The sequence below is a fragment of the Homo sapiens genome, chromosome 7, assembly GCF_000001405.40.
Source record: "Homo sapiens chromosome 7, GRCh38.p14 Primary Assembly".
NCBI lineage: Eukaryota > Metazoa > Chordata > Mammalia > Primates > Hominidae > Homo > Homo sapiens.
This window is the reverse complement of record NC_000007.14, coordinates 142906958-142934281: the sequence shown is the minus strand read 5'-3', so window position 1 is coordinate 142934281 and position 27324 is coordinate 142906958. Positions and strand designations below refer to the sequence as shown.

General features: G+C 45.6%; 1 protein-coding gene across 1 annotated transcript; it reads left to right on the top strand.

The window, feature by feature from the left end:
* Positions 536 to 26181, top strand: TRPV5 (transient receptor potential cation channel subfamily V member 5). Its single transcript, NM_019841.7, has 15 exons — positions 536 to 950; positions 3836 to 3933; positions 4102 to 4224; positions 4717 to 4854; positions 5162 to 5260; positions 5416 to 5591; positions 6048 to 6194; positions 8541 to 8753; positions 18714 to 18800; positions 18899 to 18975; positions 19236 to 19401; positions 19576 to 19642; positions 21532 to 21800; positions 24686 to 24792; positions 25474 to 26181. The coding sequence occupies exons 1-15, from the start codon at positions 823 to 825 to the stop codon at positions 25766 to 25768; spliced, it is 2190 nt and encodes a 729-aa protein (NP_062815.3). The 5' UTR covers positions 536 to 822; the 3' UTR covers positions 25769 to 26181.

Sequence of the window (27324 nt, the reverse complement as noted above, 5' to 3'; positions counted from 1 at the left end):
AACCCTCCTTTGAGGTACAGGGTTGAGGACAGAGATGACCACAAGACACATAAATGGGAAGCTCTGAGAAGCAGCCCGGGGGTCTCTTGAGCCCTCTTGTGGAAGGAGGATCGGCAGTGATTGAGTACTTGTGACACATGCTTTACAGATGCTCCCGTGAGACGGCATAGCCGTTACCCCAATTTCACAGGTTAGGAACTGAGGCTCAGAAAGCTCACCTAACTGTAAGGGATAAGAGTCAGGATTTGAACCAGGCTCTGCCTGACTCTTGAGCTGGAAGTCTTTATTTCCTCCTCTCCCTCATGCAACTAACTGTGCACCTTGTTTGTGGACCCACCTTCCATCCCTTTTCTTTTTCCAAATTCCTCTGCCCCACCTCTTAGCTTCTCGGGTCTCAGCCATCCCAGCCCACAGTTAGGAACCTTCCTTCCCCTCCTCCTTTTCTTCCCCAGGGTGGTTCTGTGGCTGTGGGGCTCAGCTCTGCAAAGAGCTCCTCCCCCTCCAGGAAAAGCACTTCTCCCCAGGCAGGGCGGTCAGTCCCCTCAGCGCACCTGCATGCACACACACCACCTCACAACCACACACTGCATGCACACACATACACCACAGCCACACACTGTGCATACACGCACACCCCACAACCCACATACTGCATGCACACACACACACCTACAAGCTGCATGCTGCATACACAAGTCATACAGGAGATAAACTCAGAGTCCCAGCCCCAAATAGACCCCATCTCTTGCTCAGTTGCTGTCATCCTAGACCTGTTTCTTTCGCCACATTTCTATAATCTGCCAGTGTCTGCAAGGAGAAGACATGGGGGGTTTTCTACCTAAGGCAGAAGGGCCCGGGAGCCAACTCCAGAAACTTCTGCCCTCCTTTCTGGTCAGAGAACAAGACTGGGACCAGCACCTGGACAAGCTTCATATGCTGCAGCAGAAGAGGTAGGCTTCCTAGAACGATCCGTGGCCCTACCGCCGTGATCCTCAGACCCTCTGACCCACCTGGGCCTGCTTTCCGAATACAGCACCCTAGAAGTGTATTGTCAGTGCCAGTCACTCAGACATACCCTTTCCTTCCAGCCCACCTAATTACAGAATCCCAGCTGGCCCCTTTTAGTGGCGGTGGAGGATGTGGCTTTGGGCCACACAGGAAAATCTTGAGGGTAGACCTAAGGACAGAGGCAGAATGACAGCCAAGGGGGAGTGAAAGGACCAAAAAGGACCAGAGGGAAGAAGCCAGGTTGTGTGGGATGGGGAGGGAAGGCAGAAGCAGGCTGCTGAAGAAGGGATGCACTCCTGTGGGTGGTGGAAGCACGATAAGGAAACGCCATTCATTTGAATGAAAGTGGACTGTGTGGGAAAGGGGAGGAGCGCTTTGTTTGGTGTAACACTGGGTGCTGACCAGTGGAGGAGGGCAGCTCAGGTGACACTGGAGGGCTCTGAGTTCAGTCCATCTGCCTTTTATTGAGTCTACTGTGTGCAGAGGGGTGTTAGATCCCAATGACATAAAGATTGAATGAGACTTGTGCCTGCTCCTGGAGAGCTCTTAGTTCGGGCAGGGCTAGCACACCTGCAGGTAAATCATTTCATGGCTTAGCCCTGAGGTCCAGTCCCAGGAAGAGCAGCTGGGGCAGGGACGAATCCTGTGGGCTGCTTCTTCCTCCAAGTGTTTTGGGGCTTGCCTCCCACCCAACAGCTGCCTGAGGGGTGAGGTTGTTGAGCAGACATTAGCAGTCACAAAGGGCTCCCCTGTACTCCAGAAGATTCCTGTGCTTTGTTCAATGCCCTGCTGTCCTCATCTTCAAGTTCTTAATAATTTTGAACAAGGGGTCCTGCATTTGCAGTTTACACTGGGCCTGGTCCCAAGTACCTCTGAGCCCTCATACTGTCAAGCCCTCTGCTTCCTCATCTCCCCACCCAATACCTCCAGTGGAATCTCACCTTCCTGCTTTAGAGTGGGACCCCTGGGTCTCTGAGAAAGTGAGCTTCCAGCCCCAACTTGGACCCTCTGCAGAGGGGCAGTGGGGATAGAGGGCCAGGGAGGCAAGGACTTTGTTTGTGCAGTGGCCTCAGGATGGGGGTGAATTTGCAATCTCAGCCCTGACCACTCTAGGCTGGTCAGGGACACCAGGCTCCCTGGGACTGATTCCCTGGGTGAGACGGGGCAGGGAACTGACTCCTCACAAAGGCCCCTCCTAGGAGCACTGCCTTAACAGGTAAAACCAGGCCCCACCTTTAGATTAAAAGCTTCTTCTTTAAATGAAAACACTTTGGCTGGGCGTGGTGGCTCACACCTGTAATCCCAGCACTTTGGGAGGCCGAGATGGGTGGATCACCTGAGGTCAGGAGTTCGAGAGCAGCCTGGCCAACATGCTGAAACCCCGTCTCTACCAAAAATAAAAAAACTAGTCAGGCATGGTGGTGGGCACCTGTAGTCCCAGCTACTCGGGAGGCTGAGGCAGGAGAATCACTTGAACCCAGGAGGCGGAAGTTGCAGTGAGCCGAGATCGCACCACTGCACTCCAGTCTGGGCAATAGAGTGAGACTTCGTCTCAAAAAAAATAAATAAATAAAATAAAAACACTTTTTCGCCCTGGCTCCTGGGGCTATTGGAAGAGAGGGATTTGGAGGTGGGGACCTCAGAGGAGCCACTCATCGGCCTGTCCTTTCTGTTCTTCCCCCTACACCATGTGCTTGCCTTTGGGGCCAATACACATATGTCTAGTTGGAGAGGCTCCAGCTTTATCTCTTTCTGGGTTCAAATCTGGGTATGGTAGAAGCAAAGATTAACAGAGGTCCTGTAGAATGAGTATCTCAACCTGTTTTGCCTTGAGACACCCACATAAACAAGCTGTTTAGACCTTTGCATCTAAGGGTATAATGCAGAAGAAAGAGGCACCCTGTAACTCACCCCACAACTCTCCACCCCCTGCAGGGACCTGTATCTAAATAACCTGAGGATGCTGGGCGCAATGTAATCCCAGCACTTTGGGAGGCCAAGGCAGGCGGATTGCCTGAGCTCAGGAGTTCGAGATCAGCCTGGCCAACATGGCAAAACCCCATCTCTACTAAAAATACAAAAAATTAGCTGGGCGTGGTGGTGCGTGCCTGTAATCCCAGCTACTCGGGAGACTGAGGCACAAGAATTGCTTGAACCTGGGAGGCAGAGGCTGCGGTAAGCTGAGATTGTACCACTGCACTCCAGCCTAGGCAACAGAGCAAGACTCTGTCTCAAAAAAAAAAAAAAAAAAAAAAATAGCCTGAGGGAGTAGTCAGAACTTTAGTGCCTCACAAATTTCACAAATTTCAAAATGCCTAGGAAAGATCTAGCAGTCGATCCATTCCTCCTCCCTCTGTGTTTTGGTCTCCCAAACTCCCCTTGGTTAAAGACAGTAGATTCAGCAGGCCCAGGAGCAGGGGGACCGCAGATGGAAGTGCCCTCTGTCCCGCTCTCCAACTATCCAGGATCTGAGACAGTTACTCAGGTTAGATGAATTCAGCCAAGCCTAGGGTCCTCTTCTTAGAGACTCTCAGACCACTCTTTCCAGACTACAGGTTCTCTTCCTATTAACTCTTCCCCTCCAGCAGAGCTTCAAGGGCCATCCTCACAGGAGAATCACCATGATGTGAATTGCAAGGAAGGCCCTGGGGCTGACCCTTGCCCAAGTCCACCCTCGGTCATTCGAGTCCAGTAGGCACTTCTTTCCAATTTGTCACTGCACGCTGTGTGAGTCACGTTGGTCTTAAAGAATGTCTTAGATCCCCTTTGCTCTTGGCCTCATTCTGCTATGACTGTCTCTTCCAAACTCACGTTCACCTTTCCCCAGGATTCTAGAGTCTCCACTGCTTCGAGCATCCAAGGAAAATGACCTGTCTGTTCTTAGGCAACTTCTACTGGACTGCACCTGTGACGTTCGACAAAGAGGTGGGATCTGGATTTAATGGGATGGAGGTGGGGGCAGAAGAACCTACTCCTCCTCCCCAAGACTTCGAGTTTGTGAAATAGGGCCTTGGAGGGTGTCTCTGGAGCCTGAGGCCCCTTCCTCAAGGGAATCTGAAAAGTGTCTAACATCTCTGTCTTACTCCAATCCAGGAGCCCTGGGGGAGACGGCGCTGCACATAGCAGCCCTCTATGACAACTTGGAGGCGGCCTTGGTGCTGATGGAGGCTGCCCCAGAGCTGGTCTTTGAGCCCACCACATGTGAGGCTTTTGCAGGTAAGGAGCCTACATGGTAATTCAAGGTGGAAACTTTGAGATGGAGGGTGTGCTGTTGTCTCTTAAAATTGGCCTCTGAAGGATGGGTTGGGGTGGGGTGATGGAGGGTCAGGAGGATGGGCTCCGTTGAGTTGGGAGAAATGCAAAGGTCCTGGTCTTGGCTTTTACCAATCTGTGGCTTCCTTCAGCATTTCCTTTCAAACCTCCCATAGTCCCTGTAGGACCTATCTCAATTTCTTTCTCTCATAGCAACATGAGAATGATTATATTCATAGCAATCCCCTGCTGGCTCCCAATAACTGAAGGGTAGGTCAATGAGCAGGGCAGCCTGAGGGATGAATTGCTCTTAGTCCCAGGCCACCCTGCCAAGCCCAGGGCAGAAGTCTAGCAAAGATCTATCAGGAACCTCCTGAGAGGGATGGTGGGGGATGCTGTGTCCCTGAGAGAACTGGGGACAGAGGGAGACCCTGATGATGGCTGTCTCTGGGCCAGGTCAGACTGCACTGCACATCGCTGTTGTGAACCAGAATGTGAACCTGGTGCGTGCCCTGCTCACCCGCAGGGCCAGTGTCTCTGCCAGAGCCACAGGCACTGCCTTCCGCCATAGTCCCCGCAACCTCATCTACTTTGGTGAGAGCAGGGTTGGGCTTGAAGGATGGTTGGCTGGAGAGGCGGGCAAGGCAGAGGGAGGCCAGGGCATGAGGGTCCTGCCTTCAGCTCCATCTGTTGGGCAGTTGAGAGGGGCAGCCCTTCTAGGGCTTAATTAAGCCAGAGGCCCATTCCCCTGATGGTTCCTTCCTCTGGTTCTGCTGGACGAGTGTCCCTCAGCCTAGAACTGAGATATGGGGGATGAGGAGGAGGCCCTTATTTGGGGGAGACTGCCCACCCCATCCTGCCATCCTGCGTTCTCCTGCCATGGATCTCTCTGTGTCCACAGGGGAGCACCCTTTGTCCTTTGCTGCCTGTGTGAACAGCGAGGAGATCGTGCGGCTGCTCATTGAGCATGGAGCTGACATCAGGGCCCAGGACTCCCTGGGTAAGAGCTGGGATGGGGAGGGGAGCTGGGATGCTGTGGGGAGCGAGGGACAGGGTAAGGAGTGGAGCTGGGACCTTTAGGAAGACCCCAGAGTGGGGATGGGGACATCAGGGACTTTAGGCCAGTGGCCACATGATACCCTGCGTCCTCCCCAGGAAACACAGTATTACACATCCTCATCCTCCAGCCCAACAAAACCTTTGCCTGCCAGATGTACAACCTGCTGCTGTCCTATGATGGACATGGGGACCACCTGCAGCCCCTGGACCTTGTGCCCAATCACCAGGGTCTCACCCCCTTCAAGCTGGCTGGAGTGGAGGGTAACACTGTGGTAAGAGACGCTCCCCATCCCTGAGGTGTCTTTCTAATGACCCTCAACCTATCCTGCTGGCCCTGGGAGAAATAGAGGTGAAGGGCCCACCTTTCTCTAAAATCCCTTTTCCCCAAACTCCCCAAAGGGATGGTGGTCCCTTGCTTCCTATTCCATCACTGAAATCTTCAGCTTCATGGTCCTTGACTCAAGAGGATTTGAGAACCTTACCTTAATGCATGTGCTGTGATAACCCAAAGCTCTAGCTTCCTTTGCCTATTTTCTTCTTTCTGCACTTTCTGGGGTTTTGGAGCAGGAAAGATGACAAAAAAGGGAAAGCTTGTAGATGCAGAGGTTTGCTGGTTCCCACTGTCTGTCTGTCTCAAGGGGTGGGCAACTGGCTCCATCCAATGGAGTTGTTCTCCTCGACCACCTTCTCACACGTTGGCCCCCTGACTCATCCTGGTGGTCTCTCAGATGTTCCAGCACCTGATGCAGAAGCGGAGGCACATCCAGTGGACGTATGGACCCCTGACCTCCATTCTCTACGACCTCACGGAGATCGACTCCTGGGGAGAGGAGCTGTCCTTCCTGGAGCTTGTGGTCTCCTCTGATAAACGAGAGGTATGGATGCCAAGGAGGATCAGGCCTGTCATGTGAGGGAATTTAGTGTTTGTGCAGAGTCTGTCCACTTACTAAGATCCTGGGCCTGAGACACTTCCCAGCCTTATAATAGGTGGAGATGAGAATAGTCTCCTGGGACATGGGGGAAAGTCCAATGCACACTCCTCTCCTGAATCCCCTGTCTCTCTGCTTAGCTCCAGTCCCTTCTGCCTACCTTTCGCCTTCTATCATTTCAGATGAGAAACTCCAAATAAGAGCTGTTTCCTCATATTCATTCATTGGTTCAGCATTGATATGGTTTGCATTTGTGTCCAAATGCAAAAATTTCATGTCAAATTGTAATCCACAGTGTTGGAGAAGGGGCCTGGTGGGAGGTGATTGGATCATGGGGACAGACTTCCCTCTTGATGTTCTCGTGATAGTGAGTTTTCACAAGATCCGGTTGTTTAAAAGTGTGTGGCACCTCCCCCTGCTCTCTCTTCCTCCTGCTCTCTCTTCCTCCTGCTCCGGCCATGTAGGATGTGCCTGCTTTCTTCTTGGCCTTTTGCCATGATTGTACGTTTCCTCAGGCCTCTCCAGAACCTGTACAGCCTGCAGAACCATGAGCCAATTAAACCTTTTTATTTATAAATTACCCTGTGCCAGGTAGTTCTTTATAGTAATATGAGAATGGACTAATACAAGCATATTGAACACCCGCTGTATGTCAGGCACTGCACAAGAAACAAACAGTACAGAAATAAATACAACACAGTTCCTGTTCATCAACTTCCTCAATTCTCAGTCCCTGTCCTGAATAATTGCAACAGAGCATGACATATGCCGTAATAGTTGTGTGTACCATGCATGCAGACAGCCACATTGAGGTAGAGTTAACTTGGCTTGGATAGACCAGAGAAGATGTCACAGAGGAAATGCTGGGGCTGGATCTTCAAGGAAGAATTGGGAGTCACAGGAAGATGAGAGAAAAAAAAGAGCTTTTTAGAGAGGGAGCAACGTATAGACCATTCAACAATGCTGGGTTGAGTGATGTGAGGGAAACGAAAATTTGTTGAAGACTGCAGTAGAGAGGAGAAAAGACTTCCAGGTTTCAGAACGTTCCATGAGAGTGCCAAGATGTAGTTTCTGTTTTGTATCTGCCACAGTGACAATTTCCCAGGAATCCTTATAGATCCAGAAAACATGAATGATTATTAATACTAACGAATAGAAGAAAAGTTGAGTGGCTAGTTTGTGAGATCTTCCTCAGAGAATATCCCTGGAAACAGATACACTTTGAGCAGGATTTCTTAGGTATTAAAAGCACAATCCCACTGTGTGGATTTCGCCACCACATATCCTTGGTCTTTGATTTAAGCTATTCTCAATATTCTCCAGCAGGTTTCATAAGTGTCTTGGGTCAGTTGCTTTTTTCCTCCATAAATCTTCCTTTCTAGCCCCCTTTCACATCCTTCACTACCTTCAGCTGCAGTTCAGAAGACCTAGACTCCTGATTTAGGACAAAAATAGAGGCTTTCTGGCTGGGGATCCTTCAGCTTCCTGCCCTACACTGCCGAGCATGTCTGGAAACTGCCCACTGTCTCTCTCCTCCCCTCCAGCTTCAGTAGAAAAGATATTCATGCTGTTAATGGCTAATCACTCTACTGTGCTTTGAATCTGTCTCTTTCTAATTTCTCAGATGCCTCCTCCCGTCCATCATCCCCTCTCCTGTGTATCTTTAACGTCTCACTGGCTGCTTATTTCAGAGCACCATCCCACCCTGCCACATCCTACTGCCTGTAACCTCCATTGCTTCTTTCCAGCCCAATAATACTTCTAGAGCAAATCTGACCACTTCCCTGCTTGAACTCCCCAGTTGCTTTCTGTTATATTTAGAAAAAACAAAAAATGCAAACTTCCTACCTTGGCATTTATGATGCATGATGACCTGGCCCTGTTCTTCCTCAGTCATTATCATTTCTGACTACCACTCCCAATAGATTCTCCCCTCTCCCCAACCACATCTCAACTGCAAATGGGCAATGGCTTCTCAGACCTTCCTGACCTGGCAACTGCTGTTAGCTTATGGTATGATCTTTCCTAACTCTCCCTTTACTCATCTAACTACTACTCATCCTTTAAATCCTCTTTGGTGCTATGGTGCCTTGTGTTTACTGCTATAGTCATTTACCTGTATCACTAGCACAAGGCCCAGCCATATGCAGGAAATATACTATTTGTCCGTCAAATAAGTGACTGATGAGCTGAGTGAGTGATGGTTGCTGCCCTGCCTCTTCTGGCCCCCAGTGGGATAAACAACATCCTTCTGTGTTGGTCACCCCAAGTTTCACTCTACTTCCATGCCAGGCTCGCCAAATTCTGGAACAGACCCCAGTGAAGGAGCTGGTGAGCTTCAAGTGGAACAAGTATGGCCGGCCGTACTTCTGCATCCTGGCTGCCTTGTACCTGCTCTACATGATCTGCTTTACTACGTGCTGCGTCTACCGCCCCCTTAAGTTTCGTGGTGGCAACCGCACTCATTCTCGAGACATCACCATCCTCCAGCAAAAACTACTACAGGTGATTCTCCTCAGAAGGGGATGAGAGAGAATTGCATCAAGGGGTGATGGTGCTGGAAACGAAGCCATGCTACTCAGGGACGATGCCACGCTCTGGGTTCCAGCAGGTGTAGGCTCCTAAACACCCAGGTAGAAATTAGACATGAGACCAGGAGGCCACAGATGGGGTTTAATGAGCACAAGAGCATTTGTCCAGGGAGCTGTGGATTTTCTCACACAAACTTTGAAAGAGTGCTTGGCATGAGTAAGCCTGTGCTTTTGTGAAATTTTTTGGTAATTTACAAAAAGTATCAGGGTTTTTTAGTGGGATGTTCAAGGTAAACTCTATTGCTCAAAAGGAGGAAAATTGTGCTCCAAGTCCATTTCTGAGTCCATTTTTGTTGTATTTGGGCAACACAGACAGCCCTGCTGGCCTGCACCCTCTTCTGTGTGCTGTCTATATGGGCCCATGGGAATAATGTGTCAGCTGTCTGACTGCCTGTCAGACACTCTGCAGAAGGATGTCTGGATTGGGTATCAGGCTGAAGTAAATACTCTCTGAGGCTCCATTTAGTGTTGTGGGCCTGCCATTCTGTGTTGTGGTGGCCAAGGGAAAACTAGGGTTAGGAAGAGGACTGATTCGAGGTACACAGTAAATATAGAAATCTGCTGTTGAAGAAAGTAAACCTCCTTTTTGTGCAACAGAAAGGGTAGACTCTAATGAGCACTTCTGAATATATATATTTAACAACTGTAGCTATATTTGAGGGGTTGACTCTTTGTGGATTACTAAAATTTTTGTCCTGGTGAGCTGAAAATACACAGAAGGTGATGTAGGTATGTAGCAGAAAGCAAAAGACCAGGAAAAAGAATTTTGCAAAGCAAGTGAGAACTGAGTGATTGGAGATTTATCTCAATGCAGGAGAGAGCAGCCATAGGTATAGCTCAGCCTGGACTAGGAAGCAGGGTAGTTTCAGTCGGAAAGAGAATATAAACTTTCTATAGCCAAGAAGCAAAAATCCTGAATTTGTTTAGACCAAAGACAGCGATATGCACAGAGAAAGAACAGGGCAAAGAGCCCAAATGAACCCTATGCTAGGTAGAGACACTCCATCTCTCCTGTTTTTAGAATTGCCTTTATATATATACATGTATATGTATATATATATATATATGTATATATATACATGTATATGTCTATATATATATATATGTATATATATACATGTATATGTGTGTATATATATATGTATATATATACATGTATATGTATATATATATATATGTATATATATACATGTATATGTATATATATATATATGTATATATATACAGTGTGTCATGTGTCCAGATACACTGCCTCTCACCAAGTAGGTCTTGCTGCCTGGGGAGGACAAGCCTGAATGTGTTAGAGACACTGGAAGCAGTTGTGCTGCATGCATCTCAGTCTGGCCGCAAAAGTTGTCCCTGGCATGGAGACATGAGGAAAATAAGGACAGTTAGGAGATGGCAAGTGGAGGGAGGAGTGATTAGAAATTGAGAAAACACAAACAAGGTGGGGATGACTGGACTTTTCCAATGCTCCTGGCCCTATTTCCTCAGATATGTCTTCTCCAACCTTCCTTTGTCTCAAATTTACTTGGAGATTTTCTGCATTTTGAAGGTAGACAGGACTCTGGGTTAAAAGGTGGGCAATGCTGAGCCACTGATAACCAAAACTCTCCTTCCTGTGTGTCTCTTTCTCTTTGGGACAGGGCTAGTTATGTACAATCACATTTCTTTGATCCAGATAGTCTGTATGTAAAAGACCGCCTCCTTTGCTTCAGGACTCAGAAGCATAATTATAGCTGAACACCTGACCCATCCTTCTTTCTTTCTCTCTTCTGCCTTCCTTCTTGTTCCTTGGCATTTTTACCCTTTCTGCCTTCTGCTTCAGTGAAAGCCACTTCAGCTCAAAGAGAAGACTTTGGACTTTCAGATATTCTTTTCTTGGTGGAGAAGTGGGTGGGTAAGAGGATTGAGAATGCTGCTGGAAGGGGTTAGATAACAAAGAACGCTAATGAAAAGTCCCTATGCTTTGAGCCCTGGCCCTGATTTATGGGATGACTATGTTCTTCTTATTCAGTAGTAAGCCCATTTGGATTAGATCAGGGGCTCCTAAACTTATCATCATGATTTGAAAGATTCTGTTTTCACAGTGCACCAGATTTTTTAAATAATAGGAAATTCCTTTTTTTTCCTACTGTTTTCTTACTTGAAAGTCTTAGAAAAAATGAAAACGCACAAATACAGTGTCTTGATTTGACTCATGCAATTGTTGACATATTAGTTAGCTGGTGGAGCTTTTTCTTAGATGAATGAATACTTTACTGTCCAATTATATTAATAACTCTGGGATCACAGGGATCTCAGTCACTTCAGGACTTCCTCTGCAGATCTCTTGGGATCTGTGGAAATCACTGGGCTCCATCACCCCTAAGATCCTTTCTAGTTTAATATCTGGCATTTTATAAGAGTAGTGCAACAGCACCATCTCAGAACAGATGAGAGAAAACAAATTCCTCTGTATAAGGTAGCAAAAAACTACACAAAAGCTGATGTTTGTAAAGCTGGAGTTAGTTTATTTCTATCCAATTTGGGGGCTATCTTAATGACTCTAAGACACCTCATTGCTCAGCCATAAAAGTTCTGCTTTACTAGAGATTTCCCAGAACTCTATTAATTTGAGTTAACTTCTTATCTCCATATATTTCTACTTGGTTTAGGCAGAGCAGCATGCACTATAGTACTAGTTCTCTTAGGTTTCCAGGTGAGTAAAAAGCTCAAAGTCCTGGAGTCCAGCAGCTCGGGTTTTAGCCCTAACTCTGAAATTTAATACTTGTTTGACCTTAGGAAAATCCTACTTCCTGCCAGATCTGTGATTTTTAACCCAGACTGTACACTAGAAACCTAGGAAGCTAGTAAAATGACTAGCTCCTAGGCTACACTTTAGTAGACCTAATAAGTTGGAATGTCTGAAGCTGAGGCTCTGGCCTTGGTATTTTTAAGAAACTCTTTGAGTGAGCCAAATGTTCTGCCAAGGTTGAGAACCCGTGGCTTCCATCTTTGAGGTAAGTGCAGCTCTGCCTTTCCAGTCTTAGGCCCACCACTCTGGTCATTTAGATTCCCGGATTACTGTTCAGCAGGGAGTTCAAATTTCTCGTCACATCTCCTTTTTGACTTTTGAAAAAGATTCTCTTGAGCCCTCCTTTGATTTTCTCTTTCCCAGAAATATTTTGCTAATCCATTCATTAAATAAATTATTATTGAGAGCCTCATATAGGCTAAACAGCTGTTCCAGGTGTTGGAAATTCAACAGCCATGGTCTGAGCAAAACACACATGATGTCTGCTTTCTTGGAGTCTACAGACTGGTTTGTATTAATCAAACGATCATACAAATAGATACTTCATTATAATCTGTGACTGTTGGCATCAATATTATTTTTTTCTTATGATGAGAAAAGCACAGAGTGGGGAAAAAACTTATAACAGGGGCCTGGTCCCTCTGGGAGGCCAGAGCCTGCTTCTGAGAAAGATGACTGAGCTGAGATCTAGGTATGAATTCAACGTGAAAAGAGAGTTCTAGACAGAAAGAATGCATATTCAAACGCCTCAAGGCAGGAATAACCTCACCAAAGTCTAGGAACTGAAAGAAGATTCACTAGAGCACAGAGAGTTGGGTTGGGTACCTCCAGGTGAGGTTGTCCAGACAGATCCTTCTCAAATTATATAGTCTTAAAGGGTTTTACGCTTTATCCCCAGGGGGATGGGAAGTCAGAAGGATTTTAAACAGGGGGATGTACAGAGTAATTTTTGTTTTAGAAAAATTACTCTGCTTGCATGGTGAGTAACAGATGTGGGGGGTGGTAGGAAGGACATTGGGAGACCAGTCAGGAGGCTATTACAGTTTAGCAAGCAAAAGATAATGTTGGCTGGGCACGGTGGCTCAGGCTTGTAATCCCAGCACTTTGGGAGGCTGAGGCGGCGGATCACGAGGTCAGGAGTTTGAGACCAGCCTGGCCAACATAGTGAAACCCCATCTCTCCTAAAAATACAAAAAATTAGCCAGGCATGGTGGTGAGCACCTGTAATCCCAGCTATTCGGGAGGCTGAGAGAGGAGAATCGCTTGAACGTGGGAGTCAGAGGTTGCAGTGAGCCGAGATCACGCCATTGCACTCCAGGCCAGGCGACAGTATGAGACTCCGTCTCAAAATAAATAAATTTAAAAAAATGGTGGATTGGCCTAGGAATGTAGTGGGGAGATAGAGGGAAGGGATTGGCATCAGGAGACTTATTGAAGGCAAAATCATCCCTACTGTGTTTCCATCTTTTAAAAATCATCTTCTACCTATCACAGTCCGTGGGATCTATTTGTCCACACATCATCATCCCTCGTAAGTTCTGAACAATCCAAAGCACCACTGCTATTTGAAAAGCAACTGATTGCCAACTCTATACAACTTTGTTGAGGGGTCCTAACCAACTCATGGTGGAACAAGCACAGCACATTATAGACAGGGAAAGAGATGAGGAGAACCAGGGAGCCCGGTAGGTAAAAATAACATCCACTGAGCACTGATCATGAACACATGCATTCATCAGTGTTTTTGAGGCCTTATTAAACTGTGGATTCTGACAGTAAGGCTGGGTGGGACCTGAGACTTGGCATTTCCAGCAAGCTGCCAGGTGAGGCCAATGTTGTGATTCTGTGCACCGCGTTTTGAGTGACAAAGCATTATTCTTTCATTTAATCTTTGTAGAAATCCTAACAAATAAATGCAATCATCACCACTTTAAAGATGGTGAATCTGATGTCAAGAGAGGTTGAATAATTTGGCAAAGACACTGAGCTAGCAAGGACAGCACTAGGATTGGGCTGCAAGTCTGCCTCCCTTCAGAATCCTCACCTTTAAACACCAGACAAGGCCATTTCTCCCTCCAGAGTGATGTGCTAGGTCCCAGTCTTCTCTATTGGCTAGCCAGGGCTTGCCACACTCACGTGTATCTACACATCTCATCTTTCCCTGTCAAGAGGAGAGGCGCTTGAGAAGTGCTGTGGGAGAGGATCAGATATAGAAAGATTCATACCCCCAGATACTGATTCATACCCCCAGATACTCCTCTCCAGTTTTGATAATTGGCACTGTTTTTTGATGGGGTTAACCTACTGGCATATAGGGCAAGTCATAATTCTGTGGGAATGGGTGGAGACTCTTCAGAAGAAAGGGGTAATCTCCCAAGCCAATACCCCTGAGAAAATGCAGAGACTGGGACATGAAATTAACCTTTGGAAGGCAGCTTGACTTACATGGGAACCAGATCTCTCTCTCTCTCTTTATGGCCCAGCGGTTCTCAACTTGGGATACACGTCCAAAACGCCTACAGAACTTTTCAAGTAAATGCCAGGTTCTTGATCCAAATTAACCCAGGGTTGGCCTGGACATGTGTGTTGTGACAAAGACTTAACACTTGATTCTGATGGGCAGTCTTGGTTAGGAACTCATGCCCAGTTAGGGAATCGGAGAAGCTCTTTGTAAGAGCTAGCAGAGCTTTCTCTGAAAACTTCATTCCTTTGCAAGTCTGGGATCATGGGGGGGAAAAAGGTCTAGAGCTGGGCTGGACAACTGGTTCTGGGGCCTACCCACTTCCCACTGTGGTGGCCTATGTTCCCCATCCTTTCCACATAGTACATCCCTGGCCCTTACGACCCAGTAGTGCCCCAGGCACTGCTTTGCCCACTCCTTCTGGGCATTTCCTTCCAGGCAATGAACTCAGCTGGCTGGGAAGTGAGAGCAAATCTCATTAGGCCAATTCTCAGTGACGTATAAATGCCAGCCTGCATAGGGGATTTGGTTGTTGAAAGCTCATTAAATTGCAAGCCATGTTGTGGAGTAAAAAATTCCAGTCATTGTTAGATGATATTTATTTTTAAAGGGATGTATTGGAGTACCTTCTCTGTGCGTTGTTAGCCAGGCCTGCTTAGGTGACCTTGATCTAGGAATCTGAAAATTTCAGAAAAGCACGATTAGTTGTCATTCTTTTCCTCTTAGGCCTCCAGATAGGTCTCTCCATCCCCGCTTCCTGTCCTCCTTACCACCCTTCTGCGTCTCTTAGGCAATGCTTAACTTGCACCTGCTGTCTCCTCTCTCCTTTTTCTCCTTCCTTCTTTCCTTTCTTACCAACTGAGTGCCTACCACATTGTGTGCATTTGTGGATAAAAAGTAGGAGGGAGGCATCCCTGCCCTCAGGAAGCTCTAAGACTACTGGTGAGACATGGGGTACCCAGACACTTTCAGTGTGCTGGGAGAGGGCTGTCAATACACAGCAGCCCCACATGTCCCAGGAGAGACACATGACCTGGGCATGGAGGGGCAGGAAAGGAGGCCCAGGAGGAGTGTTGGCCTGACCTGAGTCTTGAGGCATCGGTGAGGGTGAGCCAGGTCAACATGGTGGAGGAAGGCATTCTGACAAAGTGGCATAGCCTGTGCAGAGACCCAACTTAGCAACCCAGAACCCCAATAGCTCAATGTGGCCAGAGCTCACACAGGGTATGAGGACACAAGGCAGGGGCCATAGCAGGGAGGGTTTTGTACATCCCGTTTGGTACTCTGGTTTTATTTTTTAAATTCTTATCTCACAGTGAGCTTTCCTAATTAAAAGAAAATGACGTACATCGTGCTCATGACTTACAAATCAAGTGGCAGATCTGATAGAGAGCAACTGCGTCCTGGACAGCCCCTCTTTCTCACCCATGTCTTACTCACAGGGGACAACCAGTTTTTCTTTCTTTTAGCTCTTCCTTCCTGTCATCACCTCCACATCCCTGGAATCAAATCCTTCTATCTCTACTTGCTAATCAAATTTAGACATTATCTAGTGAATTTCTGTGACGATAAAGATTAAAGAACACTCTCCACTGCCACCTCTCCTGCATTTCTATTCTGAAGGCATTGGGGAGCTAGGAATGATGTTAAACAGATAAGTCTCAGGATGATATCTGTGTTTTAGAAAGGTCAATTCAGAAGCATTGTGCGGGGTGGGTTGAATGAGCGGAAATAGATGTAGGGTAAACTAGATGGTAGATGGCATGGGTTTGCCCTAAGGCATAAGTTCTGTTAACCAAGGGAAAGGAAAACATGTCAGAGAGAATTGGGAACTGAATGAGTAAGGCTGGAGAATGGGTGCCCTGATAATTTACTTTGCCAAACATAACCAGGCAACAATATTTTCATAAGGACCCTAAATCTAGAGAGTTGTGAATCAGCATCTCAATCTAGAAAAAAAAATCTTGAATGCAATTCCCAAAGAATAAAATTTTTAAAATTAAAAGAAACATCCATTACAGTTTGGGCTTAGGGTTTAATTCTAGGGGTGCAAGGGTGGTTAATTAAAAGGGAAGCCTATTAGCACTTCAATTTAATGCCCCTTTCCATTTCTGAAATACTGAAATCTTCCTTACCTTTGCAAAGAGTATCTATTCTAAAGCAAGAGCTAACATTTTATATCAGTGTGAAACACTGGAGTTCCCCAGAAAGTCTAAAGAAAATCAAAGTGCTTTAAAAGCCCAATATTATCATTACTTCTATTGCAACTTTTACATACATATATTGTTTTTGTTTTCCAGAGAGATTAGTTTATAAAACAAAGCAAACAAAACCCTACAGAAGGGTTTGTATTCTGGTCTTGTAGAGCAGCAAGGAAGGGGGCTCTCAGGAGTCTGTGGCACTTTGCAGCCTGGTTTAAGGGTAAGGACCCCGGGGACAGAGTGCTGGAGGCAGCTACTCTAGGTCAGTCAGATCCCAGGCAGTGCAGAGGCAAAAAATTGGGGTTTCTGAACACCTCCATTACTCATTAGTGAATTTGTGCAGAGTAATGCGTACTTGTAAAGAAATCTGTTGAACTGGTGAGAGGAAGCCCCAGCAGGAGAATTTGGTGACCAAAACTGTCCCCAGCATTAGAGGGGTTTCACATTTTCATCTCCTGAAGGAATGGCTGCTGTGACTCCCTGGCTGGATTCTAGGGGCACCCTGATCTTCACAGCCATCCTCGCCAACTTATGTGTAGTCCTTTTCTTCTTGAGCCAAGAAAAGATTGGTAGCATCTTTTCAGACATATTAAATCAAGACACGACATTTTTAAAATAAAAATATTTTTATAGACACATATATGGCATAGATGCAGTTATTTCTATATTTAATGTTATTTTGTTTCTGAAGTAATGTATTTGTTATTTATCCTCCTACTCACTACCTGACTCTGTGAAGGAGTTGGCATGTTTTACAATAAAAGACAGATGCTATAGAAACATTAAGATAAAGAAAAAGAACACAGTCCGTGAACTGAATTTCAGGAGAGAAGAGAAGGAATTCAAAGATAGCTGCTAGAGCTGAGGACAAAAAAACAAAACAAAACAAAACAAAAAAAACGCACAAAAAAAAACCAGACACACAAAAAAATAGAACAAAACAAAACAAAAACTCTGAAATTCTTTGGAAGCAAGTAAAAAAAGAAATTTGCTATTATATGATAAAATAAAATTTACCAGTTTCTCAAGAGATAAATGTCAGAAAAGTTTACAGAGCATACCATTTTTTAAGCCAAAAAAGAAAAAAAAAAGTGTTGACTGATGTCTGGTCACAGGTTGTTAGACCACAGAGTTCTCCAGACACACAGACAGAAGCTTCTCTCCTAGTCTCTCTTGGTTCCCTGTGTTAAAAGCACTGCCTCTCACCGGGCAGGTGAGTGTGCTGCTGCAGTAGAGTCTGGAGAGATGCTTACAGGTTCCAGCTGATTAGCAGAGCAGGGATAATTGCCGTTCCTTATGCTAACTAGGGACCACATTCTCCCTGGCTCAAATCATCAGCTTTCCTGCTGGCCCCAGGGGACTCTCAACTCCTTTCTTGGGTGCACTATTTGGAGATGTGACCTTGGACAACAGAGCTCCCAAAAGTCAAAAGGCTGCTTGCATGTGTTGAAATTATTTGTGCAATATCATGTGGGAATTGTCTACATGGGAACACAGTTTTGTAGAAAGAAGATATACAGTTTTTATTATGTTTTCAAGTGAGCTCATAACTTCAAAAACATAAGGATAATTAATGTAGGATTCTAGCACTACATCTGTGATATTGCATAAGTTTCACCGTGAAGTAACATGCATTGAAGTAGGGTGGTCTTCATTCCACCTTGACCCTTGGACTATACCTTCTACAACTACTGCTCAGGATAGGCAGGGACCCTTCCTCATAGTGTCTCTAGCCCCTTCTCTGCTCTTTTCTGTAATGTCAAATCATCATAAAACCACAGTGAATATATCTATAGTGATTTATGATTTATAAAGTTCATGTAAATATATCATTAATGTAAGCTTCACAATGACTCTGGGAGGTAAGCACTGTAGCCTCCATTTTACAGATGAGAAAACTCAAGTTCAGAGATTTTCCATGAATGGTTCAAGGTCTCACTAGAGGTAGTAGATTCCGGATCCGTGAGGGAACCTGAATTCTGTGATATGTTTACAGTGTATTCTTCCCACTAGAAGCCATGATGAGGTTGGAAAAGGTGGACTTTCCACATAGCTGAAACCATCCCAAGCCACTAATACCTCTTCCTGTTAGCTCACTTGATGCGCTGAAATGTGTTCTCAGCTGCTCAGTATATACATCATAAATTTCTGCTTACAGCATCTATAGAAAAGGCGATTTTGCTAGATGGTAGCTCAAGACATTAGCATATGTGACGTCTATTAAACCTTGGATACATAGACTCCTGTCCTGGTCACAGAGTTACCCACAATGGCAAGTACAATGGGGGTGGGGTGATGCTGGTGGGAAGGGGAGTTTCCTTTATTTTGGATGGGCTTTAGCAGCTTTCGATCATTTGCACAAAAGGATTTGACTCTGCCCATCAGAAAGCACTTCTTCTGAATTTCCCCACATAGGAGGCCTATGAGACACGTGAAGATATCATCAGGCTGGTGGGGGAGCTGGTGAGCATCGTTGGGGCTGTGATCATCCTGCTCCTAGAGGTGAGGGGCAGGCGGGGTCCAGGCTAATCCCATCCCATCTAAGGCCCAGACTGTACCGCAGTCCACATTGTATTTTTGCTTTGCCGTCCTCTCCCCAGATTCCAGACATCTTCAGGGTTGGTGCCTCTCGCTATTTTGGAAAGACGATTCTTGGGGGGCCATTCCATGTCATCATGTGAGTATCCCCTCATTCCAGCCCCCTGCCTTTCCTTACCAGAATCTTTTCCTGTCTCCAGCTCACTCTCTGAGTTCTAGGCCTCAGGTCACTCTCACTCCAAGGACTTCTCTCCAGTGGACTTGTAGGTGTAACTGTATGTGCGTTTTAGGTGTAAAGACTAAGCCTGAGTGTGTGGATACCACCCCGGTCACCACTATGCTGTAGGGACCTAAAATAGTTCCAGCTTGTCTCTCACTCTCTGCTTTCTGCTCCCCCAGCATCACCTATGCCTCCCTGGTGCTGGTGACCATGGTGATGCGGCTCACCAACACCAATGGGGAGGTGGTGCCCATGTCCTTTGCCCTGGTGCTGGGCTGGTGCAGTGTCATGTATTTCACTCGAGGATTCCAGATGCTGGGTCCCTTCACCATCATGATCCAGAAGGTCAGTGCTTTCCCGAAGCTTCCTCCGCCTCAGGCACAAGACCTTCACAGACAGAGGGATGGAGGTAGAATGGAGCTGGTAGAACTATGGGGGCCTCTTGATCTGTTAGCGTTAGCTGCTCAAAAGCAGTGGAAAAGGAATCATCCCACCCTTTCTTCCTTCTGTTTCCTGCAGATGATTTTTGGAGACCTAATGCGTTTCTGCTGGCTGATGGCTGTGGTCATCTTGGGATTTGCCTCCGGTAAGGCACCATACACTCCTCTACTAGATCAGCAGATCTAGTTCTCCAGAAAGTTCACTCTCATTCTTGCTCTCAGTTCTCATTTGCACTTCATTTTGCTTTCTTTTTTTTTGTTTGTTTTTTGTTTTGTTTTTTCCTGTTGGAAGGTAAGTCTAAAAGCACACCCATATTTATAGGACCAGGGGCCACTCAGGTTGGCCTGGAACGTAAAGCCATGTGTTCAGGGCCAATAAGATTTATGTTCACTAACTGCCTTGCAAGATCTTTAAAGGAGAGACAGGAAAAGACTTTTGGTGAGAACAGGGCATTAAACAGGAAAGACTGGCCAGTCATGGATCTCAGAAAACCATGTGGACAAACAGAGATAGTGCCATGCTTAACTCTCCTATGTTTACAATTCAGAAGAGGAAACCTAAAGCACTCAACAACATATAACTTGCTTTTTTTCTATATGTGGTCATTTAAAGCTGAGAAAAATATGAAAGAATTAGAAAAAGGAGGTGCAGAAAAACAGCTTGGACAGTTTGAAGATGACAGAGAAAACAAAAAAGAAGAGTTGTGAAGAGAGACTGGGAGAACAGGAACACACAGGCACCCAGTCAAGGCACAGCCAGTGAAAGTGCCAGGGAGCAAAAGAAAGGAACGGCACAGCAGGAAAACACAGGCAGGTGGAAACAGCCAGAGGGAAGGAGAGGGTGGGTGGAGGAGCAGAAGAAAGTCCTTAGGGAGGGGCAGAAAGAGGAAGGCCCAGGTCTGAAAAGCAAAAGGCCAGTAGCTCAAATTCAGTCCTCAGTGTCTGCAACTGACCATCTATTAGACAAGAAGAGGCACTAGAAGGATCCCCCCATCTCTAAAAAGCAATGACTCAGTGCAGAGGACTCTATTACTGTCCTCAGGGATTTCCCGTTCAATGGGGATTCCCACAAAACAACAGACCAAAACAAAAAACAAACAAAACAAAACAACAACAACAAAACCCCCACCAAAATCTGAAATGTGAAAGAGTAAAACCATGGCGTTCTGCCTGTTTGGAGTTTTCCACCCCAAGCCCTTATGTACCCTTTCCTCCCACTCCCTGGCCATCTACATCTATACATAACACAGATTACAAAATGAGGTGATGGTCCCAGAGTGGCTTTCTGTAGATGTCCTCTATCCAGAACTCTCTAAATGTTCACTTCTTGGCCATTGCACTTGCTTTTCTCTTAAATAAATAAGGAGGCAATGCTTTGTCATAGACCCTGTTTCTGCTCTCAGAATGTGCTTCAGCTCCCTATGCAGTGAGGAGGCTTTCAAGCAGTCCAGCGCTGTCCTGAAGTTCCCTTACGCTCACTGCTATCCAGTAGGCTCCACCCTAAGCAGGAATCCGTTTCCTATGTTGGTTCAGGTTCACTCAGGGAAGGTCAGAGTGATGGAGGGTTATCTAGAGGCCATCAAGATTAAAAAAGGGGCTCTTCTTTTAGCCTGTTCATGTGTTCTGTTCTTTAAAAATTGTTGAGGATTCCATACATTCTTGTAATAACTTGCCTTTTAAGTATTTGGTTTTCTAAAATGCAAAAACCAGTTAGGTGACCTATTATCCATTATCCATACAAACACACACGCTGCACACACAATTTTGTTGTTGTTAAATGACTATTACCATGACCATTACCCAGAGTGGTGAACTTAATCATAGGACATCTTAGGGTTAGACAGTTCCACAGGAAACTACATTTATTAGTATGTAATTATCTGTGCATGTGTGCAAGTGTATTTAGATAGATAGATAGATAGATAGATAGATAGATAGATAGATAGATCAGAGATAGAATAAGTGCTAACCATGTCCATGCTTATTGTGATAACTCCATTATCCCATCTCCATGTCCTCTTCCTGGGCGGAGCAGCGTTCTATATCATTTTCCAGACAGAGGACCCAACCAGTCTGGGGCAATTCTATGACTACCCCATGGCACTGTTCACCACCTTTGAGCTTTTTCTCACTGTTATTGATGCACCTGCCAACTACGACGTGGACTTGCCCTTCATGTTCAGCATTGTCAACTTCGCCTTCACCATCATTGCCACACTGCTCATGCTCAACTTGTTCATCGCCATGATGGGCGACACCCACTGGAGGGTGGCCCAGGAGAGGGATGAGCTCTGGAGGGCCCAGGTGAGTTTATTTGTGTTAGTCTTGCTAAGAAGCAGGGGTTGGAGAGAAAAATCAAAGTGGAAAATGTTATGGTGGATCATTCTTAAAAGAGTCACAGAAAAACCCAGTGAGGCTGTCACCTCAGAAGAGGTTTGTGTAAACCTGAGGTACATGTGGATAAATGGAAGGGACAGAAGGAGGATTAAATGGACGATAGTGGCAAGAGGTGGGGTTGTTGCTCACAGGGGAAAAGTAGACCTAGGATTGATCCTTGAGTCCAGTGGGAACTAGAAGTGACCTTGTTCTGGTATATTCCAGTTTTCAATTTGGATCTTATCTTCTATTTGCTTCTGTAAATCCCTGTTTCTCTATGATCTTTTCTTTATATCACCATAGACTGATAAATATTAGAATTAGAAGTGACCCTCAATGGCCCTCAAGTTGACCTCCTACTTAACATAATAATCATTTATTGGTCAGAATGTCATTCAATATCTTCTCTAATGCTGATTAGTACCTTATTATCTTGCAAATTCAGGTAGAGGTTGGGAGGAAGGGAGTTTTCCCATATTTTTAAAGATTTTGTTATTAGACATTTATGTCGCATTGAGCTAAAACCTATCTTCTTAAAATTTCATTCTTTGGCGCCAGTCTTTCCCTCTCATATATCACAGAACACATTCTTCCATATAAGCACCATTCAAATATTTGAATATAGCCATCATTTTTCCCTTAGACTTTTCATTCATTTAATGATGATCATTTAGACCCTGCTATGTGTTGACAAATGCCTAGGAGCTAGGGACATGAGCATAAACACAACAGACACCATATGTGCCCTCATGGAGCTGACGGTTTAGTTGGAAAGACGGGCATGAAGTGAATGACTTCACAAAAAGCTGTAAAATTACAGCAGCAAAAGTGCTATAGAGAATGTAAGGTGCTAAGAGGAGGATACAACAGAGGAATCGGACTGGGAAGTGAAGACATGCTTTCCTGAGGGAGCAACATTTAAGATGAGAACCCAAAGGTGAGCAAGAACTAGGTAGTTAAAAGGAAGGAGGGAAAAGGATGAAGGTCAAGGTTAGTAGCAATTAGGACTCTTGGCTACAGGGACAGAAAACCAAACTCAAACAGACTTGCAGATTTTTAAACAGGGGGAAGAGGATGTGTTAGTCCTCATAAATGGGAAGTTTAGAGAATTAAACTAACTTTAGAGGTATCTGGCCAGAATGCAGATCCACATCTTATACATTACATCCATTCCTCTGTTCGGCTCTCTTTTGACCTCTCTTCTAAGGCAAGCTCTCCCATCGTGTTTGTGAGATCATTTCTAGAAGCTCCAAACTCCAAAAAGAATGAGGATGTGCAATGCAACACGCAGCTCCGAGGGCCCCACTCACGTTGTATTCTGTGAGGCTCCTGGTGCCAGGCAAAACTGCAGGCTTTAAAAGAACATCTTTCCCCCTGCCAATTCCTTCCATGTTCCATCTCATGGGAACACATTCGGGTCATAGGCACATCGTTGAATCTAAGGAAAGACCAAGGACTAGATAGTGGAGGTGTTGGTGATGGTGGTGGAGGGGAGGTTTGGGGGAAAATAGATTAATTAAGCACAACTGTGTGAAGCCCAGTCCACTCAAACCAATGCACTAAAAGTGATGAGGGAGCAATTCCCTAAATGAAAAATGGGTGCTGTTACCCGAGGAAGGACGGGGCTGCATGATGGCTCAGGAGGAACAATAAACATTTCTTTCAAGGCAAAGAAGAACAGCTATCCAGGGTAAGAGCACAGAATGACTGGAAGTCCTGAGCTAGGAGGGAACTTGGTGCAATTAAGAAACTGAAAGAAGTGTGGAGTAATGAGGAAGATAGGGAGTAGAAAAACATGAGGTGAAGAATTTGCTATTTTGAAGATTGCACTCCTTCAATTAGGAAGCCTTCCTGGTTCTGATCTATTCTGATTGCACCCTTTTGTCCATGCTCTAATAGATCATGGTTTCTTTGAAACTAGAATAGTCCCCAGTATGATTAGGGCAATGCGGTACAAAGCGGGACTATGCCTTTCCTTACTTGGACATAATGCTAAGGGTACCTAAAGCTGAGTCAGGTCTTTTAGCAAATATACAAATGGCCCTTATTAAGCTTGTGATCAGCTAGCACTCCCACACCTTTGTTCTATGACTCACTTATCTAAGCTTCCTAAATGTAAATATAGGACCTTAGATTTGGTTTACTTAAATTTCTTGTTAATGATTTTACACCAGCATTCCAATCTAGCGAGATAATTTTATATTGCTTCTGTTGCCCCACATATTACATATCCCTCCCAGTTTTGTGTCACAGGCATATTTGATAAGCTTGTTTCCCATGTTTCATCTAAGTAATTAATGAGGGCTGAGCAAAGGACAGAACGTGTGGTGGACTTGCTACCAGAAATTTCCCTGCCAACTTGCAGTCATTAATCAACCCTTTTCCTTCCTAAGATGTGGATATTTAATTTGCTGAAAATTCCCTGAACAGTAACAGTATCAATTCATCCCCAAGATCGTAGAGATTCTCTTTAATCATTTTATTTAAATCGAGATAATTGGTCTGTGGCTTTTATATGAAAAAGAAGTTGAGATTAGTTTGGAGTGACTCATTCTCCATGAGTGAATAGTAATGTAAGGGCAACTATTTTATTCAAAACACTCACAAAAAATCCTCTCTCATTTCTTGATGAGTGAAGCTGGTTGCATGGTGCCTGGCACAGGCTGTGGGGTGAATAGGTGGCTGTTCTCACCACTGACCTCTAGTGTCCTATCTCACAGATTGCCTTTGGTTCCCTTTATCAGTGGCCTCAGTGCCTCTTTGAACCTCATGGCTCTTTCAGAGTTCTTCCTGTATCTCCTGCCTCCTTCCAGGTCGTGGCCACCACAGTGATGCTGGAGCGGAAGCTGCCTCGCTGCCTGTGGCCTCGCTCCGGGATCTGTGGGTGCGAATTCGGGCTGGGGGACCGCTGGTTCCTGCGGTGAGTGATGGTGTGCACATGCAAAACTGCAGATGTGTATAAGGCCACGGAAGCAAGGGTGACCGACAGGCGTCCTGGAGCCTACATTAGCCTGTCTAGGGGAGGGGGCTGGAGCTGAAGTGGAGGGGTACGAAGAATGCTGTGTGTACCTCAGGGCAGCCACGTGTAAAAGGTTGTGTGCATGTGTCCATGCTCAGACGTCAGCATGGGTTACCAGACTTGCTGTAACCTTGTTCTGAGCTGACCTTCATCTCCAGTGTACTTTTGGCTTGGATCTAACTTCCTCCTTCATATTCTGCCCTCATCTCCCGGCGTGACTCTCCTCTCTCCTCAAATTTACTTCCTGAATTGCATCTCGTCATCCTTGTGACACGCTTATCTATTAGTTGGCTCTGTTTTCTCTTTCACATTCCTACGTATTAGTAACACACAAACACACACACACCTGTGTGCGTCCTACCACCCTGCAAGCCCTGATTGCTCAGCCTCCATTATCTCTATCCCAGGTTAGCCTGCCCTCCATCACCTCCCTTCACTTGATCCCAGATACTCTTCCTGTTTCAACTCTGCTGCCTTATTTCTGCTTCCCTCTTGACCCTGCTTTCTAAATGGTCACCTCTACTTCTCCCCTGCCCATGTCTCCCCACCTGGATTGAGTCCTTTCCCCTTTCCCCTTATCAGGGTTGAGAACCACAATGATCAGAATCCTCTGCGAGTGCTTCGCTATGTGGAAGTGTTCAAGAACTCAGACAAGGAGGATGACCAGGAGCATCCATCTGAGAAACAGCCCTCTGGGGCTGAGAGTGGGACTCTAGCCAGAGCCTCTTTGGCTCTTCCAACTTCCTCCCTGTCCCGGACCGCGTCCCAGAGCAGCAGTCACCGAGGCTGGGAGATCCTTCGTCAAAACACCCTGGGGCACTTGAATCTTGGACTGAACCTTAGTGAGGGGGATGGAGAGGAGGTCTACCATTTTTGATTAACATCGCTATCACTCTTGACCTTACTCCCGGTTGGCCTGGGGGCGGGGACAGAGACGGAGACCTCTGCCTATGCAAGTGTCTAACTTCTGTGCCTGTTAATCATGGGAGGGTGAGACAGAACAATCCCTAAAGGGTCATGCCTCACACTTCACATCAGAATTTCTGGCAATGGGCAATGGTCATCGATTGTCTCACGTATTTTCTGGGCTCTTGCAAGTCACCCATCTCAGGAAAAAGGAGGTTGGCAACTAAAGACATGAGGCAGGGATGCTAGATTAATGTCAGGACCATTTCTCTTCTGCCCCACGCAGCCCCTAGAAAGTAGTAAGCTGTGAGGCTTTTCTGGCTCCCCAGGGCTTACGTGGGAAGAGCCAGGCATGGCATAGAGGTTGTGGCCCTTCTTTTTTTCCCAGCCTCCTGTAGGTCTCTCTCTCCACTTAGCAAGCAAACACCAACTGCAATAAAAAAGTCTCCTTATTCTTGCCTTCTTTAATTTTTTACTGTGGCACAATACATGTCACATAAAATTTACCATATTATCCATTTTCAGATGTGCCATTCAGTGGCATTAAGTACATTCACATTGTTGTGTAACCATCACCATTATTCATTTATGGAACTTTTTCATCATTCGGAACTGAAACTCTAATCCCCATTGAACAATAACTCTCCAGCTATCTCTCTGCCCTGGTCCCTGATAACCAATATTCTGCTTTCTGTCTATGAATTTAACTATTCTAGGTATCTTATGTAAGTGGGATTCTGCAATCTTAGTCCAAAATTTGACACAGTTTGTTTATTTATTCATCTACCAATGGACATTTGAGTTTTTTCTACCTTTTGGCCGTTGTGAATAATGCTGCTATCAATATGGTATACAAATATCTGTTCTAGTTTCTATTTTCAGATACTTTGGGCATACACCTAAAAATGGAATTGCTAGACAATTCTTATGTTTAGTTTTATGAGGAACTGCCATACTGGTTTTCACAATAGCTTTCACCATTTTACATTCCCTTCTAATGGGTGTGAAGTGGCTTCACATTGTAGTTTTGATTTGCCTTTCCCTAATGACTAATGATACTGAGCACGTTTTTATACACCTATTTATTGGATGTTTATATACCTTCTTTGGAGAAATGTCTTTTCAGTTTATTTGTCCATTTTCGAATTAGGTTTTTGTTGTTGTTGAATTGCCTTATCTTTGCTTTTTGAGGCTCACAGTCTGAAGTGTTTGCATCCTGGTGTGTTTTTAAGAATGTATGGTAAATTAGGCCTATATTTGAATGGCCTAATCATTTCTTTTCCAGGACCCTCCTGCTCTGTCCCTAGCAGCTAATCATCCTTGTGCCTGGAGGCAACAGGCTCCTGCTTGTTCTCCTGACATAGCCATCCTCCATTCCCATCTCCCTTTGCCCCACACTGAGTTGTGAAAGGAACAGCAACAATAGAGGAAGGGTCATCCCTCTCCAGGAGGGAAATTAGGAATCATGTGTCCAGGGCACCCATTATAGGTGCTCATGGTCAGCCTCTCTTGTGTCTCCAGCACTAT

Coding starts and splice junctions, on each gene's coding strand:
- TRPV5 (NM_019841.7), top strand. CDS start 823: ATGGGGGGTTTTCTACCTAAGGCAGAAGGGCCCGGGAGCCAACTCCAG. Junction 3,934..4,101: donor CTGTGACGTTCGACAAAGAG/GTGGGATCTGGA, acceptor ACTCCAATCCAG/GAGCCCTGGGGGAGACGGCG. Junction 24,793..25,473: donor GGGGACCGCTGGTTCCTGCG/GTGAGTGATGGT, acceptor TCCCCTTATCAG/GGTTGAGAACCACAATGATC.